The following is a 15,702-nucleotide window of genomic DNA, read 5'->3' on the forward strand; positions in this document are numbered from 1 at the left end:
TAATGTAGAATAACAAAAGGTTATGTGTACTTCATACATTCACACACCAAGACAAGGGAATATGTCATTCTTTTAAAATAAGTTTTAAGTCTTCAAGGATTAGCTTTTTTTCCTAGAGAGTATTAACTCATCTAGAGCTCATCAATCTATCATTCCAATTAAGATGCTGTTATAATTATATATGTGTGAAAATGAAATTGTCCTCTCCTCCTGTGTTCCCTGATTGCATCTAGTTACCAAGACTGAAAATGTCAACATGATCTTTAATTCATCTTTTTTCCTATGCTGCCCACTTCCAGTCATTTCCTCTTCTCTTAGTTTTAACAATTTAATGACCTGCTATGTATCTCTTCCTTACGTTCTACCACTAGCTGCTTCAAGCTGTCTTTACTTTCTATGTGGGTGTTTGCCTTAGCCTCAGTAGAATTCTGTAAACATTATGGAAGTGTCTTCTGCATCTTTTCGTTTGTTTTGTCTACAGCACCTCTGCCTTAAACAGGTAGCTAAATTAAAGGCAGTTACATTAAATTGAGCTCTAGAAGCTAAATTCAGGAGTGCTAGAGAGGGGACTGTGGTGAATTTAGTGCCTGCCTCAAAATGCAAGTTGAGGGTATTGTTGTCATGCTGAATTGGGGGCCAATCTTTGCCATATCTCTGATTCTTGTAAGAGAAGCTGGAAATTCATATTTTTATGTGAAATCTTAAAATTTTCTCACCTCGTTTTAAGATACTTCCTCAACAAAGAAGAGACTGACATTGCATTTTAATATGTAAAAGACTGAGAAGTCCTACAGTAAACAAATCTGCGGAAAAATCTGGAATCCTTAGTCTGTCCTAAGTGATTCTTTACCATTTGACTCTGGGCTGCCATTCACTAGTGTCAGAAAGAATGTGCTAGATACTTTCTTTTTTCATTTGGGCTATTCCCTTAGCCTGGAAATCCCCCATGTTTTCGACTTCATCCCTCACTCACTTCTTTTCCTGGCTTTCCAGTTTGCATTTCCATGACAGGTACATTTATGGTATATACCTTTGCCATAAAGTTTTTGTTGTTATGGCAAGATATAACTGTTTTATTTGTAGTTGTTTATGATTGGACGTGTCTATTTTCATTAAACTGGGACTTCCTTGAGGTCAAGGATCCATACTTAATACTGTACCATGTACGTAGCACAATGCATAGTGGACATATAGTAGACCCTTCATAATAGAATGAGTGATTAACTGAGCTAGTGAATGAAGGCAGGTTGGAACCAAACTGAACGTTATGGAGAAACAGTGGTTTTCTAATTGGTCTTCCTATCTCTAGTCACCTTTAGTCTACTCTGTATATATTTTCTAGTGCAAGTTTCCTGTAGGAAATGTTTGTACTTGTTATTCTTTTGGTCAAACAATATCTACAGATCTCCATTGCCCAAAGAATAAAGTCTGTATTTTGTACTGTGATATTCAAGAGCTTCTATGGTTGAGCCCCTTTAGAGTTTATCTCCTCCCCTTTCTTATTTTGCCTTTCCCTTCTAGCCAAGTCTGATCACTCATTTGTGATCAGACCCTTTTGTGACTTTCGTTCAATTCTCACTTCTGGTACTGTATTTCCCCACTTCAACTTATTGCAATCTTAGTACCCTTTAAGGCTGAGCTCAGAGTTCCGTCTTTGTTGGGTCATTCCTTAACTCTTAAAATGGAAGAAATGGCTTCTTCCTGTCTGATCCTGGTGCATTGTGGCTCCCTTAATTGAACATTAAAATTTATCTTATTTTATAGTTTATGGATGTACCTTTTATTCCTTCTGCTGGCTGGGACAGGGTTAACTCAGTACTTTGCATGTAAGAGGTATTTAATACATACTTTTAAAAAATTAAGTTCTTATATAGGATGTACATTGATTTTGCTTTGTAAAAAAAATTAAAATTTAAAAACGTAATTCAAATACAGTATATAGAAAATAGTGTGGAAAGATACTGCACCAAGATGTTAACAATGGAATTGTGGCTATTTTAAAACTTATTTTTTGCTCGTCTGTATTAAAAATATTTATATGTGGGCATATATTGTTTTATAATAGAGGAAAATTGCTCATAATTTAAATTATTAAATTTAATAACTTGATCTTTAAGATTTTGTTAGGTAAATGAAACCTCTTCAGCTAGATAAAATGAGTAGTAAAATTTGATGAAGTACTGTATAGATCTGGTATTATATATGTATTAACATGCTACTGAATGCCAAAAATGCTCAGAAATAAAGATAAGAATTGTAATAAGGCTGGGTGTAGTGGCTCACACCTGTAATCCCAGCACTTTGGGAGGCTGATTGTTTGGGGCCAGGAGTTCAAGACCAGCCTGGACAACATGGTGAGACCTTGTCTCTACAAAAAAAAAAAAAATACAGAAGTTAGCTGGGTGTGATGGCATGCACTTGTAGACCCAGCTACTTGGGAGGCTGAAGTGGGAGGATCAGTTGAGCCTAGGAGGTCAAGACTGCAGTGAGCCATGATTGGGCCACTGTGGTTGATAGAGGGAGACCCTGTCTCCAAAAAAAAAAAAAAAAAGGGAAAAAGAAAATGTAAAAAAGAAAAAAGAATTGTAATAAGATCATTATTTGCATAAAATAGAACTAGCAGAGGTTATAATAGTGTTAAGTGACATAAACTCATAATATCCAAAATAATGATGTGTGATTAATGTGAGTTTATTTTTCCCATAAGGTTATAAATAGGATAGTTGTGGGGAGTCAAGGGTAAATATTGGTTAATCTCTGTAAATGTAATATTTTATGTAAATATGAAGTTTTTTTTTAAGCTCTTAACTCACATTTGAAAACAACATGAAATCTAAATTATTTTAAATATTTCTTTTCCTCTCCTTTAGGACTCAAGGAAGGACTGAGGTAAGATTATTTATATGGAAATTTTAGTTAAAACTTGAGACTATCTTTTCATTAATAATAGTGAAAAAAGAGTGTTTGAATTTTGGAAAACTCCACATCAAGTGCATGGCTGATGGTTAAGAACACATAAAGGTATAAATGCCACCCTTGTGTGAATGAATGGACCCTTTTCTAGTTGTTCATTCTCAGCATTTTTCTTCTTTGACCTACATTTCCCCTCTCTTGGTACCATGAAACTGAGTAAAACTTCTGTAATACTTTACTAATACGTTAGTATTACTTCAGTGTGACAAAGGCATTTGATATGGATTTTTTGAGAACTTTAGATTCTGACCCATTGAGGCCAGTTTGTGATTTACAATACTTATCACATAGTAGAGATGTTTAATAAATACTTCATAATCTTCCTACATGCTTGGGAGATGAGTAATTTTGTTTATAAGTCTGTTTAGTGTAAAATGTGATGTTCTTTTGGGGAGATCTGGTATATAATAAAAAGCATTTTGAAAGAACACCTAGTATGTATTTTTATTCTAAACCTTATTATTGAGCTATCCTTTTAACTGTTGAGTTGTATTTGTTAAAACAATCAAAAATAATACCATGTACTCATACAGTTGTCATTAAGACATACAAAATAAATACATCCTCTGTTTATGGGAGTGTTTAAGCTTTTCAGAGTAAATAGTTCACTTCATCCCCCCCATCTGAAGTACAATTGCTTTCTTAATATTCTTAAAATATTCACTTATTCAGCAATATTATTTTCCTTCTATATGCCAGGCACTCTGCTAGATCTTAAAGATATAAAAGATAGTAAGACATGATCCCTTGACCTCAGACCTCAGAGATTTTAGGGAAAAAAAAAAAATCATCTTTTTTTTTTTTTGAGATGGAGTCTCATTCTGTCATGCCCGGCTAATTTTTGTATTTTTAGTAGAGACAACGTTTTGTCATGTTGGCCAGGCTGGTCTCAATCTCCTGACCTCAAGTGATCAGCCCACCTCGGCCTCTCAAGGTGCTGGGATTACAGGTGTGAACCACTGCGCCCAGCCAGAAAAAATAATCTTACTCCTGTTTTGGAGACTTCTTCAGCTACAGACCAGAGAAAACATGAAAACTGTCTTTTTTTATAATGATAGATTAGCCCCATTATTCTTTTTGTTTTTGTTTTTTATTTTCTTATGTTTAGTAATTTTTATTTTATTTCAGGGGTACATGTGTAGGTTTGTTACATAGGTATATTGCATGATGCTGAGATTTGGGCTGATATTTATTCTGTCACCCAAATAGTGAACATGGTAACCAATAGGTAGTTTTTTAACCCTTGGTCTCCTCTCTCCCTCTCTCTTTTTGGAGTCCCCAATGTCTGTTGTTCCCATCTTTAGGTCCGTGTCTACCCAATGTTTAGTTCCCACTTGTAAGTGAGAACATGTGGTATTTGGTTTTCTGTTTCTGCGCTAATTTACATAGGATAATGGCTTCCAGCTGCATCATTGCTGCAAAGGATGTGATTCTGTTATTTTTTTATTAGCCCCATTATTCTGACAAATGGGAATAGATTATCTTTCTCTCTTTTGTTTTTTTTAAGAGACAGGGTCTTGCTTTGTTGCCAAGGTTGGAGTGCAATGGCTGTTCATAGTGAGCTACAGCCTGGAACTCCTGGCCCAAGGAATCCTCTTGCCTCAGCCTCCCAAGTAGCGGGGATTATAGGTGTGCACCAATGTGTCCAGTTTATATTCTCTTTTTATGACCAAGTATTAAGGAGTTTTTAATAAAGTGTTTAATGAAATGACTGGAAAACACATTTAAAAACAATTTGATTTATAACAAAAATTTATATATATATAGTTTGAATACAGAAGTCTGTTATAATCTCTGGTTAATGTGTCTATTAGGTGTCATTTACTTTGAATGAGGATCTTGCAAATATTCATGATATTGGTGGAAAACCAGCTTCAGTCAGTGCTCCTAGAGAACATCCATTTGTCTTGCAAAGTGTTGGAGGACAGACATTAACAGTATTTACTGAGAGCTCATCAGGTAAGTGGGAATGGAATTATTTAATGTGATTCCTGTACATTTTGTATAGATTTTCTGTCTCAACATACACTCCTATTTGCTTTTTTTTTTTTTTTTTTTTTGCGATGGAGTTTCGCTCTTGTTGCCCAGGCTGAAGTCCAATGGCACGATCTTGGCTCACTGCAACCTCCATCTCCTGGGTTCAAGTGATTCTCCTGCCTCAGCCCCCCGAGTAGCTGGGATTACAGGCATGCGCCACCATGCCTGGCTAATTGTGTGTTTTTAGTAGAGACGAGGTTTCTCCATGTTGGTCAGGCTGGTCTCTAACTCCCTACCTCAGGTGATCTGCCCACCTTGGCCTCCCAAAGTGCTGGGATTACAGGCGTGAGCCACCGCACCCAGCCTCCTGTTTGCTTTTTTAAGGTCATTACCAATACTGTTCCATCTCTCATTTTGTCTACCTCTGTTATTCATACTATGCTACTTCTCTGCTCTGTGTACTTTCTTGTGATTAATGAAATTTTGGCCATTACTTGAGAAGGGTTTAATTTCCATTTGGGATATGAAGATGTAGAACAAAGCAGATGGAAGAATGTGGTTCATCAAGCTGCCTTCTAAGATGTTGAAGAAATAGTATTCTGAATTTTGCCAAGATAAGGTCATCCTTGCTTGTTTTAGTAAATTGATATTCAGCAAGTATGAGTTGTACTTAAAAAATACAGTTTGATATTAGGGAATATTTTAGTCTGAATTTTTCAACTTGTATGCTTTGTATACCAAGAGGGCCTTTTTATTGCATAGAGATAACTTTTAATTGACACTGGCTTCCAAGAAGTTTCTGCGTAGAGTTTTAAGATTGTATGTGTTTGCAATGAGATATTTTAACAGTTCAATAGATCAGAAGCAAATGTTTCCATTTGTGAATTAAATACAGAGAGAACTTTCTTGTGGCACACACTCAGCTTGAGTATATTTTCCTTGTTTTGGGATTTTTATCTGTCACTGAGTTTAGAATACTATTAAAGCAACAGGCCACCTTAGCTTAATGGAGCTAATTTTCTCCTATCTAGTTCAAAAAGCTTATTGACAAAAGAAAACATTTGTGATTTTGTTGTATTTCATCAAGCATTTCAAAGAAAGCTATAAGAAATTATAGTATGTTAAGAACACCATTGTTTAAAAAAAGGAACATCCTCGTAAATTTTTTTTTTTTTTTTTGAGACGTAGTCTTGCTCTGTCGCCCAGCTGGAGTGCAGTGGAGAGATCTCGGCTCACTGCAAGCTCCGCCTACCGGGTTCACGCCATTCTCCTGCCTCAGCCTCCTGAATAGCTGGGACTACAGGTGCCCGCCACCATGCCCGGCTAATTTTTTTTTTTTTTTGTATTTTTAGTAGAGACGGGGTTTCACCGTGTTAGCCAGGATGGTCTCGATCTCCTGACCTCGTGATCCGCCCGCCTCGGCCTCCCGGAGTGCTGGGATTACAGGCATGAGCCACCGGGCCCGGCCGAATTTTTTTTGTGGTATCTTAGATTACCAATAGCTACATAAAATGATCTAAAAAATTATTCTTTTTTTTCTTGGATGTACAGTATAACAGAATGGTAAATTATAACTCTTCAGTTATGTAGTTGAAGGTAGAAGGTTGGTTTCATTGCAGTTTTCTGATGCTCTGATAATTAGTAGTGTAGTAGTATGGGAGGCAGAAAATGTTAAAGTAACAGTATCTTCAGTATATCCATTTTATACTGTTGAAGATTCAACCCTTCAACAAATATTTATTGCGTGCTACATAGTTCAGGGCATAGTATAGGCCTATCTAAAATTCTGAAATTTGTCTGAAATTAGAAGCACATTTGAATTCAGTATGTTAAGAGTTTTAGGTTTGGCCGGGCATGGTGGCTCATGCCTGTAATCCCAGCACTTTGGGAGGCCAAGGTGGGCAAATCACCTGAGGCCAGGAGTCCGAGACTAACCAGGCCAACATGGTGAAACCCTGTCTCTATTAAAAATAAAAAATTGGCCAGGCGTGGTGGCAGGTGCCTGTAATCCCAGCTACTCAGGAAGCTGAAGCAGGAGAATTGTGTGAACCCAGGAGGTGGAGGTAGAAGTGAGCCAAGATTGCACCACTGTACTCCAGCCTGGGCAACAGAGGGAGACTCAGTCTCAAAAAAAAAAAAAAAAAAAAAAAAGAGTTAAAGAGTTTTAGTTTCAACAACTTTATTCCTTTTGATTGATGAGATTTAATAAGATCTGTTGAACGTGTGAGGTTTTCTCTACTTTTGTGATTGTCCCTGGAGTGGAAGAGGCATGGCACCAAGACAGTAAAAAGGAGTCATTGCCTTGATAAACGTTTGAGGTAGAGAAACTTGAACTTTTTTTTGTAGAAAAAAGTACCCTATTTCAGATTTTTTACATCTTATTAAGTGACTAATTTTTTGAAAGCATGATTTATTTCTGGTACTTCTACAAAGACAGCAATTTAGAAAGCTAACATTTGTTAGCCTCAAAATTAGTCTTCCATTTTACATTTTAAAAATACTTCAGTGTTGTGCTCTTTTTGAACATTTCGTGTTCACGTTTCTGGCTACAGTGTTCTCTAAAGGGAATGTGGTTTTATAAGGATTATCTTGGCAGGGATATGGAAGAGAATTAAGATTGTCATCCTTATTCTGGGGCTTGGACAGTATGTTCTTTATAGAACTGTGATAATACAAATGCAGTTCTAAGTTGCTATTAGTTATAATACACTATAACAATTTTTTGCTTCTTAACCTCATTATTTCTGTTTCAAGTCATTGTTCCTTGATTCTCTTTGCACCATTCTGTGCCTTAATTTCCTCATTTATGAAATAAGGATAATTTATTGACATTTATATATAAATATGAATACATTTAAACACTTAGAACAATGCTCAGTATATAATGAATGCTCAAATATTAGCTGTTGTTGTTAATATTACACCTTATTTTTAAACACTTTAGGTTTTAAGTTTATTTTAAGGCAAGTGCATGCATTTTAGCTCAATCTGGATGTATATCACTTGGTAAAATTCAGCCAGTAGGGATTTTTATGTTAAATGTTTCTCAATTGCCTGCATGACCAAGAAAAAAGCTCTAGAATTCTTAGTAGTTTATCTCCTCTGAGGAGTCTTATGTATTTGTTATTTCTAGTCATTAAAGCAGCAGTTCTACAAGTGGGTTCCTTGGATCTCTAGGAAGTCATAAATAGTAGCAGGGGCTCTGTGACTGCTGTGACATATTTAAAATGTTAGATGTATGTTGTATATGTGCGTTCTTTTCTATAGGATGGTACCAGAGCTTTCATTGGAATCTCAGAGGAATCTGTGGCCCAGAAAAGCTACAGAACCACTACCCTAGTTTTAACCTTGGTTGGTCATGAACCTGCCAAAGTATAAGTGACTAAGCCATTTTACAGGGAGTAAGCTGTTGATTTTACATTGAAATATAAATGAAGTAGGCATTATCTGGGATATTTCTACATTTTCTATCAAGTATAGAACTGTACCTGCTTTTCTAGGCTCTTTGTTTCTTTTTATTAGTGCACAGGTCTATAAAATGTAGAGTTTGTAAGGAAACTTGAAACCACATTTTAGTTCAGTGTGTTAGGAGTTTTAGTTTTAATAACTTTACTCCTGTTAATGTGATTTTGCTGGTTTTTGAGAGGTCTCCTTTGAGCCCATTTTCCTAATGATTGAATTTGGCACACTGGGTATCTTTTAGGGAGAGCGAATTAGAGGAGACTAATGATTAAGTTATACAGTGTTTTCTCATTAATTAAAATAATCTGCATGTCATCAACATTTTATGAACTCAGTTAATTTCTTTCTAATTCAGTGTTCCTGTCTGAGAGAATATATTTTATTTTTATGGGCTATTTTGGGTTACCCTTTCTTCCACTTCTGCTTTCCTCTATGAAATTCAAAATGATCTATTAATATTTTTCTGTTATTTTCATGGAGCTCGCTTATCCATTACCCTTATCTCTGTGGAAATACCTCATGTGTTTGGCCTTACATTTCCCTGCCTTGGGTCTTCAGTTTAGTATTTGTATTTACTATTTATTGGTAACCATAGATCATTTCTATTTTTCCTGCCTTTGGCATCCTCTTTGGCATTCCTACTTTTATTCAAAGTTAGATTTTCTTCTTTTTTTTTTAGAGGCAGTGTCTCACTGTGTTGCCCAGGCTGAACTTCTGGGCCCAAGTGATCCTCCCACCTCAGCCTCCTGAGTAGCTGGGACTACAGGCGTGCACCACCATGTCTGGCTCTTAGATATTATTATTTATAACTGCCAACTCTAGACAAAAATGTTCATTCATCTGTTCAATAGATATTTTTGGTGCTAAGCCCTGTGCTAGAATAAGATTAGCCTCCTGTGCACTGAGGCAACTGGTAAGTGAATAAATGCTACAAATGCTCTAATGGAGATATGTACAAAGAGGAAAAAAGCATGTGTACTTTGCCTGAGGGAACTGGCTTCAGAAGTGGAGATAATATTTGAGCTGGACCTTGAAGTATATGAATAGGATGAAAGATAGTGAGGATAAATTCATTTTTCTAGCCTTCAAGGATCCAATTCTTCACTTGGCATTCTTTTACCTGTCATCCTCTGTCATAGCTATCTAAAAGTTCATTAAATAAAAATTCATTAAAGCAAAAAACTTAGCTGTGGATGTCACAGACTAGGTTAGAGATGAAAAAAGTTTTAATTGGTGCAATGGGAGTGGAAAAGATAGAACATGGGATAATAGAGGTAATTTTTTTTTAATCTTTTTTGCCATCAGGTAAGTCGACCAGAATTAGAGGTTATTTTGACAGCTTTTGGTGATGAATCGGCTGTGAGGAAATTGGAAGATTGAGAAGCCTAGAGTGGTTTCCGTGCTTTTTTTGGCCTGAGCATCTGGAGGGATAGTGAAACCATTACTGAATTAGAAAATATTCAAAGAAATGGGCAGGCTTAGAGCTGATAACGCAGTGACTTTTTTGCTTTCATTTTTCATTATCTTTGACGCCTTTGTAGCAGTTCATTAATTCAATAAATTAACATTTGTGCCTGGTTTTTTCAGGCCCCCTTTTAGGCTTGGGATGCTTTAACAAGCAAAGGCTTAGCCCTTGTGGTGCTTACATTTTACTAAGAGGAGACAACAGTAAACATAAGTAAATTATATTGCTGGCTAGAAGTTGATAAATTTTCTGGGAATAAAGTGGGAAGTAGGCTCGGGAGTATCAGGTTGGGGGTGGGACCTCATTGAGAAGGTGAAATTTGAACAGTCTTGAAGGAGGCAAAAGGGGTAGCCATGTGGAGTGAGTTAGCCAGCTAGGAGTTTTTAAGGCAGACAGAGAACAGTAATGACTAATGCTCCAAGTTGGGAACAAGACTGGCATGTTCACGGAGTGGCCAAGAGGTCAGTGTGGATAAAGTAGATGAGCAAGGGGGAAGAGTAGTGGGCTAATTAGGTTAGGGAAGAAGGGTGGATGTTGGCAGTGGCAGATCATGAAAAGATTTCTAAACTATAAAAAGTATTTTGGATTTTACTTTTAGTGAAGTGGGAAGTCACTGGAGAGATTTAAGCAGAATAGTGATATAATTTGATTTACATGTTAAAGACCTACTCTGACTGGTAGGTTGAGAAGAGACCATGGAGTCGGGGCAGGGCTGGAACCGGGAGGCTCTTATAGTAATCCAGGGGAGACATGACAGAAGCTTGGATTAGAGTGGTAGCAGTGACAGAGATCTACTCACTCACCTGATATCCAGCTTTATATCTTTAGTTGTGTTAACAGACAGTCCACTTGGATTCTTTTTTTGGTGGGGAGAGATGGGTCTCATCCTGGGCTCAGGCAGTCCTCCCACCTCAGCCTCTCGAGTAGCTGGAACTACAGTCGCATGCCACCATGCCTGGCTAGTTTTTTATTTTTTTGTTTTTTTTTGTAGAGACAGGGTTTCGCCATGTTTCCCAGGCTGGTCTCGAACTCCTGCGTGCAAAGCTGTCCACCTGCCTCGGCCTCCCAAAGTGCTGGGATTATAGGCATGAGCCACTGTGCCCAGTCTGCCACTTGGATTTGTTACCTGAAACCAGGAAATAGAAAATCAAATTTCATTTATCCATTTCCTTTTTCTCTATATATCCATGTTTCTGCCAGTGATACATTATTCTTCTATTGTCTTGGCCATAATAATTCTTAGCCTCCTCTTATTTCTCGTATTTGGTCATTTTGTTGTTTCTGTAGTAGGAATCACATATACACATTTCTGGATACCACTTGATATGGTTTGTCTCTGTCCCCACCCAAATCTCATCTTGAATTTTAGCTCCCATAATTCCCACATGTTGTGAGAGGGACCTGGTGGGAGATAATTGAATCATGGAGGCAGCTTCCCCCATACTGTTCTTGTGGTAGTGAATAAGTCTCATGAGATCTGGTGGGTTGATAAGGGGTTTCCCCTTTCACTTGGCTCTCATTCTGTCTTGTCTGCCACCATGTAAGACATGCCTTTTGCCTTCTGCCACAATTGTGAGGCCTCCCCAGCCATGTGGAACTGAGTCTGTTAAACTTCTTTTTCTTTATAAATTACCCAGTCTTGGGTATGTCATTATCAGCAGTGTGAAAACAGACTAATACACCACTTAATCCAAAGCAACCCTCTGAAAACTCCACCCATCATCCCCAGCCTTTTTCCAGCCCCATCTGTGAAAATCTCTTACCTTTACCATACTTTCCTGCACAGTGACCTCTGTTTTTCCCCTTCTTTTTCCTCTGTCAGGGATTTGTCTTCTATAGTCATAATCAGCCTTCTCTTTCTGATCCAGCCTTTGTTGATTCTTCCTTCATTTAGACTTGTATGGCAGTAGGTTAGCTCGTTTTGTCCCATTATTAAACCTTGTGGGCAGAGGACTGTATCTCATGGTTATCTCCACGGTGCCTAGTATAGCATTGAGCACATCTGTGGCTTGGGATTGAGCACAGAGTGATGGGTTCATTAAAGCAAACATGTTGAAATCATTTATTTCCTCCTAAGAATTAGTAGTACTCTAATGGTACTTTTTAGAATGGTTTTCAAGTGAGATAGCTTGTTTTAGTTACTCACGGGATGGCTAGTCTCCCTTCAGATATTCTTGATTCAAAGTGGTTTTCTTAAGACACTTGAGGTTCAGAATCGAATATTCCTCACTTTATTTTTTGCTCATTATATTTTGGCACAGGTGATTTTTTAAACTTTCTCTTGGCTAATCAGATTAGCTTAGTACCATATTCTGTGACACTTGGTTAGCCACTCTACATATTGTCATGAGACATATTCCCCAGATAAAGTAGCAGCTGAGTTCACTGATGGTAGGTATTTACTTTCAAGCTTGAATTTGGTAACATGTACCAATTACACATATGACTAAGAACATACTAGTTTGTATTTGAAGAAGAATGTATAGCAATGGTAGTGCTCTTTGAAGATGCTGAATTACCAGTCTTTTGAAAACTTAACTGAAATTGTAGAATTTATAATCTGTCCTGTATGGTACTGTCCTGCAAGTATAGTAAATGAAAAAGGTAAGCGTTTTCTTTCTTTCTTTTTTTTGAGACTCAGTCTTACTATGTTGCCAAGGCTGGAGCGCAGTGGCGCGATCTCGGCTCACTGCAACCTCCGCCTCCCAGGCGCAAGTGATTCTCCTGCCTCAGCCTCCCGAGTAGCAGAATACTCCAAGTAGCAGAATACACCTGAGGTCAGGAGTTCAAGATCAGCCTGGCCAACATGACTAAAAATACAAAAAATTACAGACTACAGACGTGCGCCACCACGCCGGGCTAATTTTTTGTGTTTTTATTAGAGACGGGGTTTTGCCATGTTGCCTAGGCTGTTCTCAAACTCCTGACCTCAGGTAATCTGCCCGCCTCAGCCTCCCAAGTTCTGGGATTACAAGCGTTGGCCACCATGCCTGGCCATGTTTTCATTTTTAAGTTGGATTGTTGGGTGCTAATGGGAAACATTAATTTGGTGCATTTCCCTTATTTTTGGGGGAATATCATATCAGGTATATGATTTTGAGAGGTTTGAATTAAGCCTTCTTTATATGTGTGCTTATAAGCATTCAAAGTACTTTTTCATTGAACTTTTTTTCTTGTCACTGGTTTAAAACATGAATTACACTCTGTTTCCTGAATTATCACCAGCTGCATATGCAGTGGGACTTTCTGAGGCTTTATTTACCTTATCTATCATAATTTAATTACTGTTGTCACTTTAATGGAGCATTTCTTAAACTTTTTGGTCTCAGGGCTCTTTTATACATTATGTGCTAACATTTTTATTTAAAAATCGATTTTCCAAAAAAATAGTGGGAAGAGTGCCATTTTGCAGGCATCATTAATGTCTGACAGCTTAAGACAAGCTGGATTTTCATCTCTACTTCTGTATTCAATCTGTAAAGATCTGCTGTTTTGGTTGAAGTATCTGAAGAAAATCTACCTCTTATAAATACATAGTTGGAAAAGGGAGGAGTAATTAGTAGCATTTTCAGATAGTTGTGGACATTCTTTTGCTACTACACTAAAACTCTGCAAGTGGTAGTTTCTTAAAGGTCACTTGCAGTATAGAATCTGAAACTATTAGCAAACCTTTTCTACTCTCTTACATTAAATTCACAGGTCTGTCTTGTATTTGGAATGAATCTCTTACCCAGACATGATTTTGTAGCATCATACATCCATCATCTGGAGACTATTGGTTTCCTGAATTATGTAGTTCTTTTGAATGTTGACACGTTTCATTATAGAATATCAAAAATTTACATTCATTAGCATCACTACTGATTTTATCAGAAAAGTTTTTAAATATAGGGGAGCTGTTAAGTTTATGGTGATAGGTACAAGTTCTTCAGACTTTAATTTTCACTTAAAAAGTTGAATTTTATTAATGACAACAAATCCTGTCAGCTGTTTTTTTTTTTTTTAAAGGATGGGCTTTTTTCATTGATTTTTGAAAAAATATCTTTCAGATACCCAAATCTGAATAATTATGCTTTGTCTGTCAGTCATTCTTTCAAGTAACAATGATCTTCCACAACAAAAGTAGCTAGCTCAGCACTCAACTCAAACAGTTGCAACTATGCTTTTCTTTGAGGCAATCATCTTATGTTAGTGTCCAGCAGAAGCATTTCATGTGCATTTGCCATTTGGTGTCACAGAATGTTAAAGGATGCATACTCAAGGGTTGAAATTTAATAAAAACAGTTTTTACTGTTCATCAAGGACATTGTGAAGTGAAACAGACTTTTTAAAAAATTGCAAGTGCTAGGTGGTGAAGAATACACCTAGCACTTTAGTGTAGTAGCAAAACAGTGATACAGTTTTGGTACCATTTGGCCTCAATTTGTGGTGGTACCAGTAGCCTTACCCACCGTTGCTTTTGCACTATTGGCAAATATCAACACAGTGAAAAAGGTAATTAAATATTTTAAGAAAATATTTTGACCTTGTGGACACCCAAATGATCTTGAGGACCCCTGGGGATTTATAGACCATACTTTGAAGAATGCTAATTTAGTGTGTGGTAGTGTGAAAAGATTGCAAGCTCCATTTTAAAATACCTGGTGAAGTGTTGATCACTTTTTATTGGGATGGCCTACCTAATAGAGACACTCCTCCCCCCAGTGCTTCTTAGGGGAACCTCATGCGTAACACTGAATTGCATGCCTGTTTCAGTGTTTATTGTTGGTTTTAAGAATACAGGGGCCGGGCACCGTGGCTCAGGCCTGTAATCCCAGCAGGTTGGGAGGCCAAGGTGGGCAGATCACCTGAGGTCAGGAGTTCAAGACCAGCCTGGCCAACATGGTGAAACGCCGTCCCTACCAAAAATACAAAAAATTAGCCAGCTGTGGTGGTGAGTGCCTGTAATCCCGCCTATTCGGGAGGCTGAGGCAGGAGAATCACTTGAACCCAGGAGGCAGAGGTTGCAGTGAGCCGAGATCATGCCATTGCACTCCAGCCTGGGCAACAAGAGCGAAACTCTGTCTCAAAAAGAAAAAATGAATACAGTACATATTTTTTTAACCAGATTTGAACCACTTTTAAACTATTTCTTTTAGGTATAGTTTACACTTTTAGGTATTTATTCCACTTCTGTTGGTGGATAACCTGTCTTAATAAATCTGTATTAAATAAGATAGTAAATACAACCTGTCTTTGTATTTACTATCTTATTTAATTCTCCTCACAACTCCACGAGGGAGGGACTTTTAAAAAATCTTCATTTTGCAGATGATATGACAGAAGCTCTAAGAGATTGTGTGACTAGCCCCTATTTCCTGATATTTAGAAATATATGTTAAAACAGTCTCTTTAAGTAGGTAATAGAAATCCTGCTAGGTCTGCCTGGATAGATGCTCTGTGGTGACTCCAGCTTGTCTCTTTCATCACTGCATTTCACAGGGCAGCCATCTTCAAGTCCCATTCACTTTGGCAGCTAGTGGTTCTTTCTCACTCCGCTAGTAAAGGCCCTATGGAAGGAGTAAGGAAGCTCTGTTTTTTGCTTACTCCTTTGAGTAACAGCCTTGCCACTGAACATTTGGAATCATACCAGCTTCTGACAATCTTATACTTGTGAGGAGGAACAAACAGGAACAAAAATATATGAGTTTAGTGTTTATTTCCTGAACTGCCACCAAGGTTGTGACTGACTGCAGAGATTTAGTTTTGTATTTTACTGCCAACTGCCTGAGCCAGGTCTGCTCTCTGAAAAGTTAAACCTAATAGCAGAAAATGTTCCTTTATTT

General features: G+C 37.5%; 1 protein-coding gene across 3 annotated transcripts in view; it reads left to right on the top strand.

Annotated features, from left to right (window-relative positions):
* Positions 1-15,702, top strand: part of GTF2F2 (general transcription factor IIF subunit 2) — a 164,384-nt gene that overhangs the window by 26,390 nt on the left and 122,292 nt on the right. For all 3 annotated transcript variants that reach the window (XM_011535052.4, NM_004128.3, XM_011535053.4), the window contains exons 3-4: positions 2,871-2,889; positions 4,788-4,932. In XM_011535052.4, coding sequence (XP_011533354.1) covers positions 2,871-2,889; positions 4,788-4,932 — 164 coding nt within the window. The remainder of the gene's footprint in view (positions 1-2,870; positions 2,890-4,787; positions 4,933-15,702) is intronic.

Source organism: Homo sapiens, chromosome 13 (assembly GCF_000001405.40).
Source record: "Homo sapiens chromosome 13, GRCh38.p14 Primary Assembly".
Lineage (NCBI taxonomy): Eukaryota > Metazoa > Chordata > Mammalia > Primates > Hominidae > Homo > Homo sapiens.